Source organism: Homo sapiens, chromosome X (assembly GCF_000001405.40).
Source record: "Homo sapiens chromosome X, GRCh38.p14 Primary Assembly".
Classification (NCBI taxonomy): domain Eukaryota; kingdom Metazoa; phylum Chordata; class Mammalia; order Primates; family Hominidae; genus Homo; species Homo sapiens.
The window spans coordinates 73,830,843-73,854,007 of record NC_000023.11 but is presented as its reverse complement, the minus strand read 5'-3'; the positions used below and the strand labels follow the sequence as shown (position 1 = coordinate 73,854,007).

At 40.5% G+C, this 23,165-nt stretch overlaps 1 long non-coding RNA gene across 13 annotated transcripts in view, besides 4 other annotated features; it reads left to right on the top strand.

The window, feature by feature from the left end:
* Positions 1,294–23,165, top strand: part of XIST (X inactive specific transcript) — a 32,059-nt gene continuing 10,187 nt past the window's right edge. For 7 of the 13 annotated variants that reach the window (NR_191002.1, NR_191003.1, NR_191001.1 and 4 more), the window contains exons 1-4: positions 1,294–12,626; positions 16,505–16,568; positions 20,634–20,770; positions 22,734–22,942. This is a non-coding gene — a long non-coding RNA (X inactive specific transcript). The remainder of the gene's footprint in view (positions 12,627–16,504; positions 16,569–20,633; positions 20,771–22,733; positions 22,943–23,165) is intronic. The other 6 variants (NR_191005.1, NR_191004.1, NR_191009.1 and 3 more) reach the window with 4 other exon arrangements.
* Positions 2,075–2,576: an enhancer, noted in NCBI's record as "H3K27ac hESC enhancer chrX:73071267-73071768 (GRCh37/hg19 assembly coordinates)". NCBI's record gives its function as "activates a minimal SCP1, AML or CMV promoter by ChIP-STARR-seq in primed H9 embryonic stem cells {active_cell/tissue: H9 hESC(primed)}" and the evidence as "EXISTENCE:reporter gene assay evidence [ECO:0000049][PMID:30033119]".
* Positions 2,075–2,689: a biological region, named in NCBI's record as "H3K27ac hESC enhancer GRCh37_chrX:73071267-73071768".
* Positions 2,440–2,689: an enhancer, noted in NCBI's record as "active region_29764". NCBI's record gives its function as "activates an Ori minimal core promoter by ATAC-STARR-seq in GM12878 lymphoblastoid cells {active_cell/tissue: GM12878}" and the evidence as "EXISTENCE:reporter gene assay evidence [ECO:0000049][PMID:35858748]".
* Positions 3,120–3,169: an enhancer, noted in NCBI's record as "active region_29763". NCBI's record gives its function as "activates an Ori minimal core promoter by ATAC-STARR-seq in GM12878 lymphoblastoid cells {active_cell/tissue: GM12878}" and the evidence as "EXISTENCE:reporter gene assay evidence [ECO:0000049][PMID:35858748]".

Sequence of the window (23,165 nt, the reverse complement as noted above, 5' to 3'; positions counted from 1 at the left end):
AAGTCAGATTACTTTTTTTGTTTGATCCAAGGACACTTAGAAGATGGAAGGTATTTCTTAAGGAAGAAAATTTGCATACTTTATTATTTTTCTGGAAACTGAAGAGCAAGCTTACCTGATAGATTTGGGTCGATAGTTACACTTTCCAGTTCAGCCAGTGGGAGGGTAATGTATCCTTTGACTTTCTAGAAGTTGCTCTATAATACTTAAGTTGCCATTGTCTCCCTTCTGGTTCTCTGTTGTTTCTCGAATGACATAGAAGAGTTTATGAGATTAATTGCTTCCTACTGAAATAGCCAGGTTTCTGAGGGCAGCTTTGGCTTTTATATGAGCTTTTTCTTCCTACCACTTATCAGTTACTGACAGAGGGTCAACTTCACTACTGTGTCATATGGTTGGTCCAATGTTGGGTTCCTCAGATTCATGGAGGAAATAGGAAAATAGTAAAGATTAAGGAGTCATAGTTAAAAAATTACAAACAGGTCACAAACAGTACTCTTTCTTGATTATTTAGGAACCAAATAGCCATTCTATGAAATGTCTTTCTTTCCTTTTTCTCTCTTGCTCACCAATTGACTCGTAAGCACTTCCGTTCTCTTATGGTTGGGAGCCATACAAGGTAGAGTGTTGGAGTAAAAACTACATTGACTCTGAATCATGGTGTGTGACCTCGGGCACATGATGTAACCTCTATAGGACTCTATTTTAATGTATAAAACAGGAATAATCCTTTATTATTATCTATGCAATACATATTCCATTATCTATTACATGGGATAATGGAATGGGAAGTCCCTTGAAGATGGTACTAACCTCAATGTATTACTCCTTTCTAGCTTCTTTGGTTCAAAAGTTTGGTGGAGGAGTTACAAATTCTGGTTTGAATGATATATTTGGATACTTTATCAACACATCAAAGCTCTACCTATCCCTTCCCCCATTCTCAAAACCAAGCTGAATTAACATCTTTACATTTATTATGCAGTTTATGGAGGATTTTAGCATTAATTATTGCTTGATTTACTCAATGTCCCCATGTTATAGATGAGAACTGGAAAACCCATTGAAGTTGTGACTCCTGGTCTAGAAATGAAGTCTACTTCCAGTTAATGTTCTTTCTGGTATGTCTTTGCTTTCTTGAAATTTCCCTTTTTTGTCCTTACTGGGTAAATTTTGAACCAACCAAATCACAAAGATGTCCGGCTTTCAATCTTCTAGGCCACGCCTCTTATGCTCTCTCCGCCCTCAGCCCCCCCTTCAGTTCTTAAAGCGCTGCAATTCGCTGCTGCAGCCATATTTCTTACTCTCTCGGGGCTGGAAGCTTCCTGACTGAAGATCTCTCTGCACTTGGGGTTCTTTCTAGAACATTTTCTAGTCCCCCAACACCCTTTATGGCGTATTTCTTTAAAAAAATCACCTAAATTCCATAAAATATTTTTTTAAATTCTATACTTTCTCCTAGTGTCTTCTTGACACGTCCTCCATATTTTTTTAAAGAAAGTATTTGGAATATTTTGAGGCAATTTTTAATATTTAAGGAATTTTTCTTTGGAATCATTTTTGGTTGACATCTCTGTTTTTTGTGGATCAGTTTTTTACTCTTCCACTCTCTTTTCTATATTTTGCCCATCGGGGCTGCGGATACCTGGTTTTATTATTTTTTCTTTGCCCAACGGGGCCGTGGATACCTGCCTTTTAATTCTTTTTTATTCGCCCATCGGGGCCGCGGATACCTGCTTTTTATTTTTTTTTCCTTAGCCCATCGGGGTATCGGATACCTGCTGATTCCCTTCCCCTCTGAACCCCCAACACTCTGGCCCATCGGGGTGACGGATATCTGCTTTTTAAAAATTTTCTTTTTTTGGCCCATCGGGGCTTCGGATACCTGCTTTTTTTTTTTTTATTTTTCCTTGCCCATCGGGGCCTCGGATACCTGCTTTAATTTTTGTTTTTCTGGCCCATCGGGGCCGCGGATACCTGCTTTGATTTTTTTTTTTCATCGCCCATCGGTGCTTTTTATGGATGAAAAAATGTTGGTTTTGTGGGTTGTTGCACTCTCTGGAATATCTACACTTTTTTTTGCTGCTGATCATTTGGTGGTGTGTGAGTGTACCTACCGCTTTGGCAGAGAATGACTCTGCAGTTAAGCTAAGGGCGTGTTCAGATTGTGGAGGAAAAGTGGCCGCCATTTTAGACTTGCCGCATAACTCGGCTTAGGGCTAGTCGTTTGTGCTAAGTTAAACTAGGGAGGCAAGATGGATGATAGCAGGTCAGGCAGAGGAAGTCATGTGCATTGCATGAGCTAAACCTATCTGAATGAATTGATTTGGGGCTTGTTAGGAGCTTTGCGTGATTGTTGTATCGGGAGGCAGTAAGAATCATCTTTTATCAGTACAAGGGACTAGTTAAAAATGGAAGGTTAGGAAAGACTAAGGTGCAGGGCTTAAAATGGCGATTTTGACATTGCGGCATTGCTCAGCATGGCGGGCTGTGCTTTGTTAGGTTGTCCAAAATGGCGGATCCAGTTCTGTCGCAGTGTTCAAGTGGCGGGAAGGCCACATCATGATGGGCGAGGCTTTGTTAAGTGGTTAGCATGGTGGTGGACATGTGCGGTCACACAGGAAAAGATGGCGGCTGAAGGTCTTGCCGCAGTGTAAAACATGGCGGGCCTCTTTGTCTTTGCTGTGTGCTTTTCGTGTTGGGTTTTGCCGCAGGGACAATATGGCAGGCGTTGTCATATGTATATCATGGCTTTTGTCACGTGGACATCATGGCGGGCTTGCCGCATTGTTAAAGATGGCGGGTTTTGCCGCCTAGTGCCACGCAGAGCGGGAGAAAAGGTGGGATGGACAGTGCTGGATTGCTGCATAACCCAACCAATTAGAAATGGGGGTGGAATTGATCACAGCCAATTAGAGCAGAAGATGGAATTAGACTGATGACACACTGTCCAGCTACTCAGCGAAGACCTGGGTGAATTAGCATGGCACTTCGCAGCTGTCTTTAGCCAGTCAGGAGAAAGAAGTGGAGGGGCCACGTGTATGTCTCCCAGTGGGCGGTACACCAGGTGTTTTCAAGGTCTTTTCAAGGACATTTAGCCTTTCCACCTCTGTCCCCTCTTATTTGTCCCCTCCTGTCCAGTGCTGCCTCTTGCAGTGCTGGATATCTGGCTGTGTGGTCTGAACCTCCCTCCATTCCTCTGTATTGGTGCCTCACCTAAGGCTAAGTATACCTCCCCCCCCACCCCCCAACCCCCCCAACTCCCCACCCCCACCCCCCACCCCCCACCTCCCCACCCCCCTACCCCCCTACCCCCCTACCCCCCTCTGGTCTGCCCTGCACTGCACTGTTGCCATGGGCAGTGCTCCAGGCCTGCTTGGTGTGGACATGGTGGTGAGCCGTGGCAAGGACCAGAATGGATCACAGATGATCGTTGGCCAACAGGTGGCAGAAGAGGAATTCCTGCCTTCCTCAAGAGGAACACCTACCCCTTGGCTAATGCTGGGGTCGGATTTTGATTTATATTTATCTTTTGGATGTCAGTCATACAGTCTGATTTTGTGGTTTGCTAGTGTTTGAATTTAAGTCTTAAGTGACTATTATAGAAATGTATTAAGAGGCTTTATTTGTAGAATTCACTTTAATTACATTTAATGAGTTTTTGTTTTGAGTTCCTTAAAATTCCTTAAAGTTTTTAGCTTCTCATTACAAATTCCTTAACCTTTTTTTGGCAGTAGATAGTCAAAGTCAAATCATTTCTAATGTTTTAAAAATGTGCTGGTCATTTTCTTTGAAATTGACTTAACTATTTTCCTTTGAAGAGTCTGTAGCACAGAAACAGTAAAAAATTTAACTTCATGACCTAATGTAAAAAAGAGTGTTTGAAGGTTTACACAGGTCCAGGCCTTGCTTTGTTCCCATCCTTGATGCTGCACTAATTGACTAATCACCTACTTATCAGACAGGAAACTTGAATTGCTGTGGTCTGGTGTCCTCTATTCAGACTTATTATATTGGAGTATTTCAATTTTTCGTTGTATCCTGCCTGCCTAGCATCCAGTTCCTCCCCAGCCCTGCTCCCAGCAAACCCCTAGTCTAGCCCCAGCCCTACTCCCACCCCGCCCCAGCCCTGCCCCAGCCCCAGTCCCCTAACCCCCCAGCCCTAGCCCCAGTCCCAGTCCTAGTTCCTCAGTCCCGCCCAGCTTCTCTCGAAAGTCACTCTAATTTTCATTGATTCAGTGCTCAAAATAAGTTGTCCATTGCTTATCCTATTATACTGGGATATTCCGTTTACCCTTGGCATTGCTGATCTTCAGTACTGACTCCTTGACCATTTTCAGTTAATGCATACAATCCCATTTGTCTGTGATCTCAGGACAAAGAATTTCCTTACTCGGTACGTTGAAGTTAGGGAATGTCAATTGAGAGCTTTCTATCAGAGCATTATTGCCCACAATTTGAGTTACTTATCATTTTCTCGATCCCCTGCCCTTAAAGGAGAAACCATTTCTCTGTCATTGCTTCTGTAGTCACAGTCCCAATTTTGAGTAGTGATCTTTTCTTGTGTACTGTGTTGGCCACCTAAAACTCTTTGCATTGAGTAAAATTCTAATTGCCAATAATCCTACCCATTGGATTAGACAGCACTCTGAACCCCATTTGCATTCAGCAGGGGGTCGCAGACAACCCGTCTTTTGTTGGACAGTTAAAATGCTCAGTCCCAATTGTCATAGCTTTGCCTATTAAACAAAGGCACCCTACTGCGCTTTTTGCTGTGCTTCTGGAGAATCCTGCTGTTCTTGGACAATTAAAGAACAAAGTAGTAATTGCTAATTGTCTCACCCATTAATCATGAAGACTACCAGTCGCCCTTGCATTTGCCTTGAGGCAGCGCTGACTACCTGAGATTTAAGAGTTTCTTAAATTATTGAGTAAAATCCCAATTATCCATAGTTCTGTTAGTTACACTATGGCCTTTGCAAACATCTTTGCATAACAGCAGTGGGACTGACTCATTCTTAGAGCCCCTTCCCTTGGAATATTAATGGATACAATAGTAATTATTCATGGTTCTGCGTAACAGAGAAGACCCACTTATGTGTATGCCTTTATCATTGCTCCTAGATAGTGTGAACTACCTACCACCTTGCATTAATATGTAAAACACTAATTGCCCATAGTCCCACTCATTAGTCTAGGATGTCCTCTTTGCCATTGCTGCTGAGTTCTGACTACCCAAGTTTCCTTCTCTTAAACAGTTGATATGCATAATTGCATATATTCATGGTTCTGTGCAATAAAAATGGATTCTCACCCCATCCCACCTTCTGTGGGATGTTGCTAACGAGTGCAGATTATTCAATAACAGCTCTTGAACAGTTAATTTGCACAGTTGCAATTGTCCAGAGTCCTGTCCATTAGAAAGGGACTCTGTATCCTATTTGCACGCTACAATGTGGGCTGATCACCCAAGGACTCTTCTTGTGCATTGATGTTCATAATTGTATTTGTCCACGATCTTGTGCACTAACCCTTCCACTCCCTTTGTATTCCAGCAGGGGACCCTTACTACTCAAGACCTCTGTACTAGGACAGTTTATGTGCACAATCCTAATTGATTAGAACTGAGTCTTTTATATCAAGGTCCCTGCATCATCTTTGCTTTACATCAAGAGGGTGCTGGTTACCTAATGCCCCTCCTCCAGAAATTATTGATGTGCAAAATGCAATTTCCCTATCTGCTGTTAGTCTGGGGTCTCATCCCCTCATATTCCTTTTGTCTTACAGCAGGGGGTACTTGGGACTGTTAATGCGCATAATTGCAATTATGGTCTTTTCCATTAAATTAAGATCCCAACTGCTCACACCCTCTTAGCATTACAGTAGAGGGTGCTAATCACAAGGACATTTCTTTTGTACTGTTAATGTGCTACTTGCATTTGTCCCTCTTCCTGTGCACTAAAGACCCCACTCACTTCCCTAGTGTTCAGCAGTGGATGACCTCTAGTCAAGACCTTTGCACTAGGATAGTTAATGTGAACCATGGCAACTGATCACAACAATGTCTTTCAGATCAGATCCATTTTATCCTCCTTGTTTTACAGCAAGGGATATTAATTACCTATGTTACCTTTCCCTGGGACTATGAATGTGCAAAATTCCAATGTTCATGGTCTCTCCCTTTAAACCTATATTCTACCCCTTTTACATTATAGAAAGGGATGCTGGAAACCCAGAGTCCTTCTCTTGGGACTCTTAATGTGTATTTCTAATTATCCATGACTCTTAATGTGCATATTTTCAATTGCCTAATTGATTTCAATTGTCTAAGACATTTCAAATGTCTAATTGATTAGAACTGAGTCTTTTATATCAAGCTAATATCTAGCTTTTATATCAAGCTAATATCTTGACTTCTCAGCATCATAGAAGGGGGTACTGATTTCCTAAAGTCTTTCTTGAATTTCTATTATGCAAAATTGCCCTGAGGCCGGGTGTGGTGGCTCACACCTGTAATCCCAGCACTTTGGGAGGCTGAGGTGGGAAGATCCCTTACTGCCAGGAGTTTGAGACCAGCCTGGCCAACATTAAAAAAAAAAAAAAGTAAGACAATTGCCCTGGAATCCCATCCCCCTCACACCTCCTTGGCAAAGCAGCAGGAGTGCTAACTAGCTAGTGCTTCTTCTCTTATACTGCTTAAATGCGCATAATTAGCAGTAGTTGATGTGCCCCTATGTTAGAGTAGAATCCCGCTTCCTTGCTCCATTTGCATTACTGCAGGAGCTTCTAACTAGCCTGAATTCACTCTCTTGGACTGTTAATGTGCATACTTATATTTGCTGCTGTACTTTTTTACCATGTAAGGACCCCACCCACTGTATTTACATCCCAGCTGGAAGTACCTACTACTTAAGACCCTTAGACTAGTAAAGTTAGCGTGCATAATCTTAGGTGTTATATACACATTTTCAGTTGCATACAGTTGTGCCTTTTATCAGGACTCCTGTACTTATCAAAGCAGAGAGTGCTAATCAATATTAAGCCCTTCTCTTCGAACTGTAGATGGCATGTAATTGCAGTTGTCAATGGTCCTTCAATTAGACTTGGGTTTCTGACCTATCACACCCTCTTTGCTTTATTGCATGGGGTACTATTCACTTAAGGCCCCTTTCTCAAACTGTTAATGTGCCTAATGACAATTACATCAGTATCCTTCCTTTTGAAGGACAGCATGGTTGGTGACACCTAAGGCCCCATTTCTTGGCCTCCCAATATGTGTGATTGTATTTGTCGAGGTTGCTATGCACTAGAGAAGGAAAGTGCTCCCCTCATCCCCACTTTTCCCTTCCAGCAGGAAGTGCCCACCCCATAAGACCCTTTTATTTGGAGAGTCTAGGTGCACAATTGTAAGTGACCACAAGCATGCATCTTGGACATTTATGTGCGTAATCGCACACTGCTCATTCCATGTGAATAAGGTCCTACTCTCCGACCCCTTTTGCAATACAGAAGGGTTGCTGATAACGCAGTCCCCTTTTCTTGGCATGTTGTGTGTGATTATAATCGTCTGGGATCCTATGCACTAGAAAAGGAGGGTCCTCTCCACATACCTCAGTCTCACCTTTCCCTTCCAGCAGGGAGTGCCCACTCCATAAGACTCTCACATTTGGACAGTCAAGGTGCGTAATTGTTAAGTGAACACAACCATGCACCTTAGACATGGATTTGCATAACTACACACAGCTCAACCTATCTGAATAAAATCCTACTCTCAGACCCCTTTTGCAGTACAGCAGGGGTGCTGATCACCAAGGCCCTTTTTCCTGGCCTGGTATGCGTGTGATTATGTTTGTCCCGGTTCCTGTGTATTAGACATGGAAGCCTCCCCTGCCACACTCCACCCCCAATCTTCCTTTCCCTTCCGGCAGGGAGTGCCCTCTCCATAAGACGCTTACGTTTGGACAATCAAGGTGCACAGTTGTAAGTGACCACAGGCATACACCTTGGACATTAATGTGCATAACCACTTTGCCCATTCCATCTGAATAAGGTCCTACTCTCAGACCCCTTTTGCAGTACAGCAGGGGTGCTGATCACCAAGGCCCCTTTTCTTGGCCTGTTATGTGCGTGATTATATTTGTCTGGGTTCCTGTGTATTAGACAAGGAAGCCTTCCCCCCGCCCCCACCCCCACTCCCAGTCTTCCTTTCCCTTCCAGCAGGGAGTGCCCCCTCCATAAGATCATTACATTTGGACAATCAAGGTGCACAATTATAAGTGACCACAGCCATGCACCTTGGACATTATTGGACATTAATGTGCGTAACTGCACATGGCCCATCCCATCTGAATAAGGTCCTACTCTCAGATGCCCTTTGCAGTACAGCAGGGGTACTGAATCACCAAGGCCCTTTTTCTTGGCCTGTTATGTGTGTGATTATATTTATCCCAGTTTCTGTGTAATAGACATGAAAGCCTCCCCTGCCACACCCCACCTCCAATCTTCCTTTCCCTTCCACCAGGGAGTGTCCACTCCATATACCCTTACATTTGGACAATCAAGGTGCACAATTGTAAGTGAGCATAGGCACTCACCTTGGACATGAATGTGCATAACTGCACATGGCCCATCCCATCTGAATAAGGTCCTACTCTCAGACCCTTTTTGCAGTACAGCAGGGGTGCTGATCACCAAGGCCCCTTTTCCTGGCCTGTTATGTGTGTGATTATATTTGTTCCAGTTCCTGTGTAATAGACATGGAAGCCTCCCCTGCCACACTCCACCCCCAATCTTCCTTTCCCTTCTGGCAGGAAGTACCCGCTCCATAAGACCCTTACATTTGGACAGTCAAGGTGCACAATTGTATGTGACCACAACCATGCACCTTGGACATAAATGTGTGTAACTGCACATGGCCCATCCCATCTGAATAAGGTCCTACTCTCAGACCCCTTTTGCAGTACAGTAGGTGTGCTGATAACCAAGGCCCCTCTTCCTGGCCTGTTAACGTATGTGATTATATTTGTCTGGGTTCCAGTGTATAAGACATGGAAGCCTCCCCTGCCCCACCCCACCCTCAATCTTCCTTTCCCTTCTGGCAGGGAGTGCCAGCTCCATAAGAACCTTACATTTGGACAGTCAAGGTGCACAATTCTAAGTGACCGCAGCCATGCACCTTGGTCAATAATGTGTGTAACTGCACACGGCCTATCTCATCTGAATAAGGCCTTACTCTCAGACCCCTTTTGCAGTACAGCAGGGGTGCTGATAACCAAGGCCCATTTTCCTGGCCTGTTATGTGTGTGATTATATTTGTCCAGGTTTCTGTGTACTAGACAAGGAAGCCTCCTCTGCCCCATCCCATCTACGCATAATCTTTCTTTTCCTCCCAGCAGGGAGTGCTCACTCCATAAGACCCTTACATTTGGACAATCAAGGTGCACAATTGTAAGTGACCACAACCATGCATCTTGGAAATTTATGTGCATAACTGCACATGGCTTATCCTATTTGAATAAAGTCCTACTCTCAGACCCCCTTTGCAGTATAGCTGGGGTGCTGATCACTGAGGCCTCTTTGCTTGGCTTGTCTATATTCTTGTGTACTAGATAAGGGCACCTTCTCATGGACTCCCTTTGCTTTTCAACAAGGAGTACCCACTACTTTTTAAGATTCTTATATTTGTCCAAAGTACATGGTTTTAATTGACCACAACAATGTCCCTTGGACATTAATGTATGTAATCACCACATGGTTCATCCTAATTAAACAAAGTTCTACCTTCTCACCCTCCATTTGCAGTATACCAGGGTTGCTGACCCCCTAAGTCCCCTTTTCTTGGCTTGTTGACATGCATAATTGCATTTATGTTGGTTCTTGTGCCCTAGACAAGGATGCCCCACCTCTTTTCAATAGTGGGTGCCCACTCCTTATGATCTTTACATTTGAACAGTTAATGTGAATAATTGCAGTTGTCCACAACCCTATCACTTCTAGGACCATTATACCTCTTTTGCATTACTGTGGGGTATACTGTTTCCCTCCAAGGCCCCTTCTGGTGGACTATCAACATATAATTGAAATTTTCTTTTGTCTTTGTCAGTAGATTAAGGTCATACCCCATCACCTTTCCTTTGTAGTACAACAGGGTGTCCTGATCAACCAAAGTCCTGTTGTTTTGGACTGTTAATATGTGCAATTACATTTGCTCCTGATCTGTGCACTAGATAAGGATCCTACCTACTTTCTTAGTGTTTTTAGCAGGTAGTGCCCACTACTCAAGACTGTCACTTGGAATGTTCATGTGCACAAACTCAATTCTCTAAGCATGTTCCTGTACCACCTTTGCTTTAGAGCAGGGGGATGATATTCACTAAGTGCCCCTTCTTTTGGACTTAATATGCATTAATGCAATTGTCCACCTCTTCTTTTAGACTAAGAGTTGATCTCCACATATTCCCCTTGCATCAGGGGCATGTTAATTATGAATGAACCCTTTTCTTTTAATATTAATGTCATAATTGTATTTGTGGACCTGTGTAGGAGAAAAAGACCCTATGTTCCTCCCATTACCCTTTGGATTGCTGCTGAGAAGTGTTAACTACTCATAATCTCAGCTCTTGGACAATTAATAGCATTAATAACAATTATCAAGGGCACTGATCATTAGATAAGACTCCTGCTTCCTCGTTGCTTACATCGGGGGTACTGACCCACTAAGGCCCCTTGTACTGTTAATGTGAATATTTGCAATTATATATGTCTCCTTCTGGTAGAGTGGGATATTATGCCCTAGTATCCCCTTTGCATTACTGCAGGGGCTGCTGACTACTCAAAACTTCTCCTGGGACTGTTAATAGGCACAATGGCAGTTATCAATGGTTTTCTCCCTCCCTGACCTTGTTAAGCAAGCGCCCCACCCCACCCTTAGTTTCCCATGGCATAATAAAGTATAAGCATTGGAGTATTCCATGCACTTGTCTATCAAACAGTGGTCCATACTCCCAACCCTTTTGCATTGCGCCAGTGTGTAAAATCACAGGTAGCCATGGTGTCATGCTTTATATACGAAGTCTTCCCTCTCTCTGCCCCTTGTGTGCCCTTGGCCCCTTTTTACAGACTATTGCTCACAATCTCAGGTGTCCATATTTGCAGCTATTAGGTAAGATTGTGCTGTCTCCCTCTTCCCTTCCCTCTGCCCTGCCCCTTTTGCCTCTTTGCTGGGTAATGTTGACCAGACAAGGCCCTTTCTCTTGGACTTAAACAATTCTCAGTTGCACTTTCCTTGGTCCCACCCATTATACATGAACCCCTCTACTTCCTTTCGCATTGCTTCTGAGTATGCTGACTACCCAAAGCCCCTTCTGTGTTATTAATAAACACAGTACTGATTGTCCCATTTTTCAGCCCATCAGTCCAAGATCTCCCTACCACTTTGGTGTGTTGGTGCAGTGTTGACTATGAAAAGCAGGCCTGAACTAGGTGGATAAGCCTTCACTCATTTTCTTTCATTTATTAATGATCCTAGTTTCAATTATTGTCAGATTCTGGGGACAAGAACCATTCTTGCCCACCTGTGTTACTGCTTTACTGTGCAAAATACTGAAGGCAAGTCAGACCCAGGGAGCTGGATTGCCATCCTTTATTTTGTGTTTCCAGTGTACACTATAAAATTGTCTCCCCAGGAAGGAAGGTTGGCACTTTCTCTGCATTCTTCTTTCCAGAGCAGATTGCCTGGTTAAGAATCTCTTGTTGTCCCCTTTGTATATTGTTATTGTAAAGTGCCAAATGCCAGGATACAGCCAGAAAAATTGCTTATTATTATTAAAAAAATTTTTTTAAGAAAGACATCTGGATTGTAGGGTGGACTCGATAACCTGGTCATTATTTTTTTGAAGCCAAAATATCCATTTATACTATGTACCTGGTGACCAGTGTCTCTCATTTTAACTGAGGGTGGTGGGTCTGTGGATAGAACACTGACTCTTGCTATTTTAATATCAAAGATATTCTAGAGTGGAACTCTTAAGACCAGTATCTTTGTGTGGGCTTTACCAGCATTCACTTTTAGAAAAACTACCTAAATTTTATAATCCTTTAATTTCTTCATCTGGAGCACCTGCCCCTACTTATTTCAAGAAGATTGCAGTAAAACGATTAAATGAGGGAACATATGCAGAGGTGCTTTTAAAAAGCATATGCCACCTTTTTTATTAATTATTATATAAAATGAAGCATTTAATTATAGTAATAATTTGAAGTAGTTTGAAGTACCACACTGAGGTGAGGACTTAAAAATGATAAGACGAGTTCCCTATTTTATAAGAAAAATAAGCCAAAATTAAATATTCTTTTGGATATAAATTTCAACAGTGAGATAGCTGCCTAGTGGAAATGAATAATATCCCAGCCACTAGTGTACAGGGTGTTTTGTGGCACAGGATTATGTAATATGGAACTGCTCAAGCAAATAACTAGTCATCACAACAGCAGTTCTTTGTAATAACTGAAAAAGAATATTGTTTCTCGGAGAAGGATGTCAAAAGATCGGCCCAGCTCAGGGAGCAGTTTGCCCTACTAGCTCCTCGGACAGCTGTAAAGAAGAGTCTCTGGCTCTTTAGAATACTGTAAGTACTACTTCGTAGCTATTAAGTAATCTTTTTCCTATTCTATTTTCTTTCTCTTAGATGCCACCTATAGAAAAGTCAGAGGGTCCAGTAAGTTTCTTTCCTTCTTCCCACCTCATCTGCAATATATATATATAGAGAGAGAAATAGATACATACATACATGCATAAATACACATATGTGAGTTAACCAGCAGAACTGTAGAATTAATATTGTGGACCCAGCTCTATGCTAGGTTACACTGATAACCTGGGTAGGAATGATATCATCCTATATAATTTCATTCCTGAGATGATTTTATCGTTGAGGAGCTAATGTGAGCACATTTGAAATAACTTTAGAAAATAATAAGTGCTGTTTTGTGTGAATCATAAGTAGTAGTTTTAGGAAGGGAACCCACAAGGATTTGAAGTTGATAGAATAAACTTAAGGAAGTGGGTTTGCTTTTTCTCTTTAAGCCAAGATAGGATTAATATTGCAGCCATCTGGATAGTCCAGTTGGTTTATTTTAATTTCATTTGTTTTTTACCTCTTTTGGAGCCATGGAAAGAGATGAAAGGGATAGAGCATAGCCATTGTGTTTGGCTATTTGCGAAGGTTGGCAAATTAGTGATTGCTAAATCTCATAAGCTTGAGTATTTTAAAGTTCAGAGATTGAGGGCATAAATCTAATACTTCGGCTCCTTCCACAATTTTACTACATTTCTGCCCAAGAACAGATGACCATGGATAATGCATATCGTAGATACTTTTTAAGTTTGGAACCTTTTTGCCAAGAGGGTAGTGGAGAAGTGAAGTCAAAACCTTGACCTTCCTTGCCTACTTTATGCTGTAGTTTATATACCTTCTTTCCTCCCACCTTTCGTAAAGCTAAAAGAAGCTTAGCCTCCTTAATGTTTTCCAGCTGACAAAATATTGTTTAACATAACATTCGAAACTTTTTTTCTGGTGCACATTCATGCATCACAGCAGGAGCAACAAGAACCATATAAGTGAACTGGCTTCACTTATAGCCCGTTTTAATTCATATCCATATTTCCTCAGGGCTTGTTTCCATGCCTCCCAGCCCCACTCCATATGCTTAACAACATTGTCTGGCTGACTGAGGGTTATATACATCATGGTCTTGAACCTTCTTGGAAACATGGTCTGTGCCATTGTTTCTCAAACCCAAGTAATGCTTCATGATGAAACACCTTCTAAAGGAACAAAATTTTCTGAGATCCTAAAAAAATGTGTTTTGAGGAACACTGACTTAACAAAGATATTTGAAATGTAAATATGTTTTCCAATTTCACGTTGTCTTTGTCAAAGATGTGTTTTATATAACTTATGTAGAACTTGGGGATCCATTAGAATATATTCACAAATCCCCAGGGTTATCACCCCAATTTGAGAAACCCTGGTCTATGCTTATGAAATCTTCTATTGGTAATTAAATTGTCATTCATTGTCAACATACAATTATAATTATTATTGGAATTTGTTTTAAATGAATGAATTTGGAGGTGATTCTGTACCTTAAGTCAAGAGGAAGGATGGCTTGATTTTAGGTGGATTGATTATACTAGATAGCATCCAAAGGTGAATCTTGAAGCTGTATTTAAATTCATTGCTTGAAATAATTTCCACCCTTAAGAAAAATCTCTAGCAATTGTAAAAAGGGATGCTCTGGAAATGTGGGCATCTTCAAAATAGAGATAATTCTTGTGTTAGTTCAACAAATATTATTGTACCAGGTGCTGGAATAAATAGCAAAACCAAAGACAGGATTTATATCAAGGAATTTGCTTTCTTATGGAGGATGCAGAAGGAAATCATTATGGTTTTGGGCAGAAATGCTTAGACTTTAGTCCTGGCTCTGAGTTTGGTTCAGATCACCATCAATCTGACCATCTCGAGACTGCTAGTGAAATAAGATAGGGGCTTATATCAAATACCTAAATCCCTGAAAATGACATTTTGTGATTTGGAAAATTTTCAAAAGTCTAATGAAGGAAACTTTTTTGGCATTTCTTTAAATGATTATTGTCATTTCTTTTCTGACTTTTCCCTTTATAAAACCTTAACATGTAGGATTGGAGGAAGTTTTCTGACCATTTTCTCATATCCTCTTTCAGCTTTATCTTTCTGTAACTTCCATTTCTCTAGCCACCTCCCTAAATTACAGAAGACTGTGAGACCCAGGGCTGCTGTGATTAGGCATTCATAATTTCTTTTCAGGGTGTTTGTGCCCTGATTATCAAATGTACAGCTTGAAGGGAGTTCATGTCTTAAAGTAATGAATTAAGAGTTGACCTTTGTTGACTGCTAAAATATTCTTATATGTGAAAGCATCCTGGAAAAATACGTTACCAGCTTAAAGAGAAAGAAACTAATGATTATATCTGAACTGAGCTAATGCCTCTTCTCTTCCCCCAAACCTTATCAGTTTGGATGGCAAAGAGTAATGATGTGTCAGTTAAACAGAGCTAATGCCTTCCTCTGCCTTGTCTTAAAGACTGGATTGGGAGAAAATTGATATTCTCACTACCATATTTTGGGCTGTAGGCAAGTAGCATTTTACACAGGTTTCCTTCAAAAATCCAACTCAAGTTGGAGCTCATGTATTTAAGACATAGCTGGCCTGCTGAATTTAACAAGTTAAACTTCAGTGGCCATGTACAGTTATATATCACTATATATATGTGTATTAGGCTGTCGAGTTGGTCATGTTTTTGTTGGTGACTTAGGCTTTACTTGATAGCTCTTCCTTGACCTTTCCAAATTGAGTACTGATACATGGAGCTTGGGCTTCTTCTGCATCTTATACAAATGAGTTTGGTAAAGAAGCCTCTCCTTTACTGTTTTGATGTTTATATTAGAAATAACTTTTGATTATTTTTTTTCATGTTAGGATGAGAAACTGAAACAAAATGTAAATTTGACCGGTGCTAGACTTCTTAAATTATGGGTAGACTTAAAGTATTATTTTCCTTAACCAATTAGAATGCTAGTCTTCTAGTGTTCCCGGAAACATGAGAGGTTATGCAGTAGACCCAAGCAATACCCTCTTATTACATAATCAAGTGCGTATAAGAATTTAAAAATAGGGATATGACTGGAACATCACTGTACTTTACCAGGTCCCATTATAAAATTATCTATGTTACTTTACCCATAGCTTTGAAAACTAGTGGCATAGTATATTTTATAGTATGCTGTTAGTGTGATTGGCATTGAACAGTGATGGGATATAATCACTCTACAATCTATATGTTATTAAAGTTTTCCAGCCTTATAGATCTCCCTTGACTGAAAATTAGCTACTAACTTACGACTTATTTTTTACAGCAGATTGACTAGGTCTTTCCAGGAAATCTGTTGATGTACAAAAACAAAGTTTAATTGCTAATGTTTTTTTAAAAAATAACTTTTTGATATTACGGATACCTGGTTATTTGGGCCTTGTATATTTTAACATCAAAATTACCTATTATAAATCCATATAAACAGAAAAGAAAGAGAGTAAGTCTTTAGATCAGATCTGCAAACAATGATGGTACGTACTGTAGAAAAATCTGGAACATAGACTTACCAGTTCTTAGGTTCCATTTTGCTTGCTTTTTAAAAACTGTGTCTTATAAGTCTTCAGCAACTGGTTGGGAGATTTTTAGAAAAAATAACCTTTTAATGTTAGAACAGTGTAGAGATTTACAGAATGATTCTGAAGATAGAGTTTCTGTGTACTTCACACCCAGTTTTTCCCAGTGTTAACATTTTACATTAGTTTGGTACATTTGTCACAACAAACCAATATTGATACATTATTATTAACTAGAGTCCATATTTTATTCAGATTTCCTTAGTTTTTCCTTAATGTTCTTTTTGTGTTCCAGGATCCCATTGAAGATACCACGCTGCATGTGTCCTTAGTAGTCATGTCTCCTTAGGCTCCTCTTGGTAATGACAGTTTCTCAGACTCTTTGTTTTTGATGAACTTCACAGTTTTGAGGACTAATGGTCCAGTATTCTATAGAATGTCTCTCTATTGGAATTTGTCTGATGTTCTTCTCATGACTAGATTGGGTTTATGAGTGTTTAGGAGGAAGACCACAAAGGTAGAGTGCCATTCTTATCACTTATCAAGAGTACATACTATCAACATGACTTATCACTGTTTATGTTATCCTTAATCACCTGTCTGAGGTACTATTTGTCAGGTTTCTCCAGCGTAAAATTAGTCTTTATTTCTCCATTTCCCTACTATACTGTTCACATAGGAAGTCACTATGTGCAGCCAGCACTTAAGGAATGGGAAATTACCTTCCACCTCATTGAGGGCAGAGTATTTACATAAATTATTTGGAATTCTTTTGCACAGGATGTCTTTTCTCCACAATGTATTGTGTTTATTCAGTCATTTATATCAGTATGATCTCAGGGATATTTTATACTCTGGGTTATAATACAGTATTACTTTATTCTGTTGTTCAAATTGTTCCAGCTTTGGCCATTGGGAGGTCTTTCATTTGGCTTTGATATAACCCCATGAATGTGGGTTTTTTGTTTGAGCACTTTCTTATTTTTGGAACTACAACATGCTTCAGACTCATTTGCATATCTCCTGCCTGGACCTAAAATGATGTATTTCTGCAAGGAGCCTTGATACTTTTTATTGGAGAGTAATATTAGAAATCAAGAAGTGAATGCTAGGTGCGCTCATTACTACTGGAGTGTCATTCCTTCAAGACCTTTTCAGTTGACAAGAGCAAGGAGATATATATTTGCATTCTAACGTGTGTATATGCACATAGCTATAAATATATATAACCATCTGTATCTATATTAAACTAAATGTGTTTATACCTACGTCTCCAACTCTAATCATTGCCACATGGATCATTATAGTCTCACCTCCTTGCTTATCTGTTACCTCCCATTTCTACAGTGAGAAACCTGGCTTGGTTGGGAAATTTTTCTGTTAATATTACGGTAGTGAGTGTTTGACATTTGCTTCTATGGTTAAGTTTAGGGAGAGTTTAGCTGTAGGGTATTCTTGAAACTAGAAATGACCCTTCTGCCCTAAATGTTTCTGCCAGTTTTGAAACGTAAAATAGGTTGCAGAAACAAACTTTATCTTAAGAACCAGAATTTACTTCAATCCACATTTTGACATTGATTTTCAGATTAAATTATTCTGATATCGCCAGGTAAGCTGTTCCTTGGGTATGCATTTCTTCTTTCCGTTTTTTTCTAAGAGCTAAAGGACCCTGAGAACACTGGAGGTGGGAAAGGAAGGGAAAGGCATGTTCACACGTGGGATAGGAAAGGTTCATTTACTGACCTCCAGCTAGCCTTCCAAAGTGCCTATTTAAGACCCAAGGAGTAGATGTCTTCCTTGGCAATTGTAACCCAAATATAATTTTTAACCTTTCAATTTTAGTCAAGAAAGTTGGTGTGCTGTTACAAAAAGTGCCCTGATTAACAGCATTGTCATGTGCATTGCATATTAATCAGCAATTTAAAATAACATGAAATTATGTTGAGTATAATTTTAATATTTTATATTAGATATTAGTTTGAGACAGTGTTTCTCAAGTCTGTATAATAAGTTTGATAGTAGGGAGGTTTTCTCTCAAGAAAAGAATTATTCAGTGTGCACCTACATAATCACTGCTTAGATTCTACAATTAATATTTTGCTATATTTGATTAAACGTTTTCTGTAAAAGAAAAATATTATTATGTACTATTTAGGTTTATGGGAATAATTGTTAAGTTAAAGTGTATGAACAAACCTGGAATGAAATCTGTTTGCCTACATCTATAATACAACTATAAAACATAGCAGATGTACAAATTAGTAGTTAATAGATAACTAAAATGCAAATATGGCACTACTATTATAGTATTATAGTTTCTTTTGAGTGGCGTGTCTGTAATATCACATGCTGTGTTGATGCACTTCACCAAACTGCTGTTTTCAAACTGCTTTAAATCCTGCCATTATAGCACATAGCAATGCTATTTCACTTTCATTTGGCACAAAACACATTTATATATTGTTTGCTTCTCTTCTTTTCTGTAATCCCCAGGCAACAAAACTAGAACATTTGCCACTAATCTGGCAACGTGGTCCTATATTATGAAGTAGTCATATAGCTGATCTAAACTATCCTTACAGTGAAATGAGAGTATTGTGAAAGTTTTGTAGAAAGCTCCCCATATGTCCTGAGAATCTATGCACAGACCCCACAGTTAAAAGACCTTTGAATTGTGGGAAGACATGGGTTTAAGTATCACTTGGTTACCTTCTATTTGTGTAACATTGAGGTAGTTTCATCTTCTGGGTTCCCAGTTTCCTTAGAGAATGAAAATGTTGAATTATGTGATTTTTTTTTTTTTTTGAGACGGAGTTTTGCTCTTTCGCCCAGGCTGGAGTGAAGTAGCACGATCTCGACTCACTGCAACCTCCTTCCCCCATGATCAAGCAATTCTCCTGCCTCAGCCTCCCAAGTAGCTGGGATTACAGGCACCCGCCCCCCACCCCCCGCCCCCAGCTAATGTTTGTATTTTTAGTACAGATGGAGTTTTGCCGTGTTGGCCAGGCTGGTCTCGAACTTCTGACCTCAGGTGATCCACTCGCCTTGGCCTCCCAAAGTGCTAGGATTACAGGCATGAGCCACTGCGCCTGGCCTATGTGATTATTAATATCACGTCTAGCTGTGACAATTCTGTCTGATGCTGGAGTATTTGAACCAGATGGCTGGCTGTGCCACTCAGTTATTCTCTCCATAAGACTTTGATATTTTGTTGGTCTGCAAGATGACGGATTCTCAAAATTCTTGTCAGTGAATATTGAACCCTAGTGAAATGTATGGTTCTGTATCAGTTCCAAAATGTAACCACTTTCTCTAGCCTTAGATTCCCAGTTCCAAAATGTAACCATTTTCTCTAGCCTTAGATTCCCGTTAAGGGAAAGGGAATGCTCTTTGAGTATGTCATCACCATAGTAACAGGCAAAACTAGAGGGCTTTGATGCTAAAGCAAGATACTCCATAAATATGCTTAAGAAGACTTGGGGAGACTGGAATAGTTGTTCCCTTTTAGATGCCAGTGTATAAATGAATTTGAGCTAGGATCCGTTTATTTAAAATTTCTTTAGGTGTATTTGCTTGCATATGGAGTGCACATTTACTCTCATTAATGGAGTTTTAGGAAGCAGTAGAGTAAATGCATAAACATGTATGAACCGCCATGTTTAACTGGAAGCCTGCATTTGGAAGTCAAGTATCTAATCTTAGATTAAATTAGGATGGGGAAGGATGTTGGCAAGAGATTTTGAAGCTTGTTCTGCTTATATTGAGAACATCATAGAACAGTTTGGCCTTTTTAAAGCTAGAGAATAGTGTTGAATAAGTGATGTTCCATATATTCCTGTTTGACATTGACATAAAGGTTTCCTCATGATACAGTAATCCCTGATCAGGGATCTGGAAGCCTGTATTCATTTAAGGTACTCAGGTTTAACATACTGGGTGCTTTTCACACCATACTATACAGTACCATGCAAAGTGCTTTCAAGACTGCAAATTTGGCTTAGATCCCCTTTAGTGAGCTCCTATGCTATAGTAAAGGTAGATAGCCAATTATTAAAAACAGTCAAGACAATTGCACCTCTAAGCAGTAGTAGCAGTTGCCACACCACCTTGAATCTTGAAGTATTTTCAGCAACAGGATGACCATTAGCCACAAATTTAGTGTCAGCCCTTAAGGTCGGTATTGGTTTGACCCATATTTTCATGTAGTTCTTTTTCTTCACTTGTCTAATCTTCCCGTGTACTGCCAGGGCTTGTCATTAGAGGACTTTAGGGAGACCAAGCAGGCTAGAAAGTAGAGACAGGAGATACCTATGTCTAATGCTTCAGTTTATACTTCCTAGGTTTTTTTCATTGGGGTTTTTGTAACTCTTTTGGTATCCTACCGGTGCTTTGGTAGCCTACTGAACCCTGTCTTTCTTCTTAAGGACATTCTGAGCATGTGAGACCTGAGGACTGCAAACAGCTATAAGAGGCTCCAAATTAATCATATCTTTCCCTTTGAGAATCTGGCCAAGCTCCAGCTAATCTACTTGGATGGGTTGCCAGCTATCTGGAGAAAAAGGTAGTTTGGGGAATTTATTGTTGTAGTGCTTCTGTCTTTGGATTGAACTTCCCACAACTCTCCTTTTTAAAGCAGAACACAGCTGGGCATGGTGGCTCCTGCTTGTAATTCCAGGGCTTTGGGAGGTTGAGGTGGGGGGATCACTTGAGGCCAGGAGTTGAAGACCCATGTCTCTACAATAAAATAAAATTAGTTGGGCATGGTGGTACGTGCCTGTAGTCCTACCTACTCTGGAGGCTGAGGCAGCAGGATTGCTTGAGCCCAGGAGTTCAAGGCTGCAGTGAGCCATCATTAGCCACTGCACTCCAGCCTAGGTGGCAGAGCGGGACCCAGTCTCTTAAAAAGAAAGAAAAGCAGAACGTGAGCCAGTTTTCATCAATTCCTATACTTTTTCTTTTGCATGTACACATACATTTTAACTTTACATAATGAGTTCGGCCTGTTTCATTTATCCCTCAGAGCTGGGCTCCAGTGAGGTCTGTAAGGGCAAGCATACTTGATCCCCAATGAAGAATGAGAGATGCAAAGCACTAAATTATTTCTTTTCTCACCACACAGCAAGATAGATTTAATGAACTTAACACCTTTTGATTAGTGGCCTTTTAAATTATTCCCACTTTCCTTTGGCAGATGGGTATTAAGTTCTCAGGATTTGTTTACAAATAAGACTAACTTCATCTGTATTAGCTCAGTTTTGGTAGGCCTAATTCCATTATCACTGCCATTTCCTTGTTTTAAGAAATCAAAATTTCTTAGCTTGAAAAACAATTGAAATTGTTAAAAAGTGGAATAGGAGAGCCCCGGGGGCCTGTATAAGGAATTTACTGAATCCCTGGTTTTCTGTACCTTGTTTTTCCTTCTGCATAGATTTGCTTAACTGTTTTTGTGGCGTGTATTTTTTTTTTTTCGCAGTTTCGCTCTTGTTGCCCAGGCTGGAGTGCAATGGCGCAATCTCAGCTCACTGCAACCTCTGTCTCCTGGGTTCAAGTTATTCTCCTGCCTCAGCCTCTCGAGTAGCTGAGATTACAGGCATGCGCGACCACGCCAGGCTAATTTTGTATTTTTAGTAGAGACGGGGTTTCTCCATGTTGGTCAGGCTGGTCTCAAACTCCTGACCTCAGGTGATTCACCCGCCTCGACCTCCCAAACTGCTGGGATTACAGGCGTGAGCCACCACGCCTGGCCAGCTGTTGTTATAACTGGAGTTCTATGTGCTTGTGACCATTCTTGGTTTCTCCGAATATCCTAGAACTTTGGTGGCGCCCTATTATACAGGTTGTTGAAGAAATGTTACCATGTGGATTGAGTAGGAAACAATTCTCTTTATCTTGGCAATATTATGGCATGGCACTACTTAAAGTACAAATTAAAAGAGGGGGATGCTACAGAACTAGCTGACAGGCACTTTGATAGAGGTGGATTTCTCAGTTCTTAAAATAGCTCTTTATAAAGGAAGCCAGAGGCATTGTGGAGGAGAATTCTTACATAACTCATAGGGTTAGACCACATCCGACCTTTTCTGTGTGGCTTCATGGCTCTCTTGGTTGAGAAAGCATTAGTTTCTCCTTCCATTAGTTTCAACCTCTTGATTTCTTGACCCCCCTACTATATTTTGTGCTGAGAACACAAGGGTATTAACAACCCACATTGTAGAGGATCGCTCAGTAATAAAGACTGGAGAATAAAATGCAGCATGGGAATATTGGCAATTACTCAGTTCTAAATTTCTCTTGGAAATGAGGGAAAGCATACAGAATAGAGCTGGAATGAATAGGATAATTTTTTTTTTTTTTGCTAAGTTGGTAGCCAGAATATAACAGCTCCGCACAACTGTAAATGTCCACTCTTCAATCCACATGAAGAAAAGGGTAAAAATATGGTTGAACTCAACCACTAGTTGCCCATTAGAACAGACTTTCCCAGTGTACTGCATTTCAATACTTTTTCTTTTATCTCTTTTCAGATCTTCCTCAGAAGAATAGGCTTGTTGTTTTACAGTGTTAGTGATCCATTCCCTTTGACGATCCCTAGGTGGAGATGGGGCATGAGGATCCTCCAGGGGAAAAGCTCACTACCACTGGGCAACAACCCTAGGTCAGGAGGTTCTGTCAAGATACTTTCCTGGTCCCAGATAGGAAGATAAAGTCTCAAAAACAACCACCACACGTCAAGGTGCGTAAGCTGTCCCTAAAAGCATAATAAGTAGTCTTAATTTTGATTTTGTTTTCCAGTATACATTGCACTTAGTGTTTCACTGAGGTCGTATTCATCATTATTCTGCATATGATTTGGTAAAAACAGCTTCCTAACTAACCTGGGAAGCAACTGGGTGTGAGATTAACTGGTTAAAGTGATGATGTAAAGAGGGTAGCGGGTTGCATGTGTTCGGGTGTTT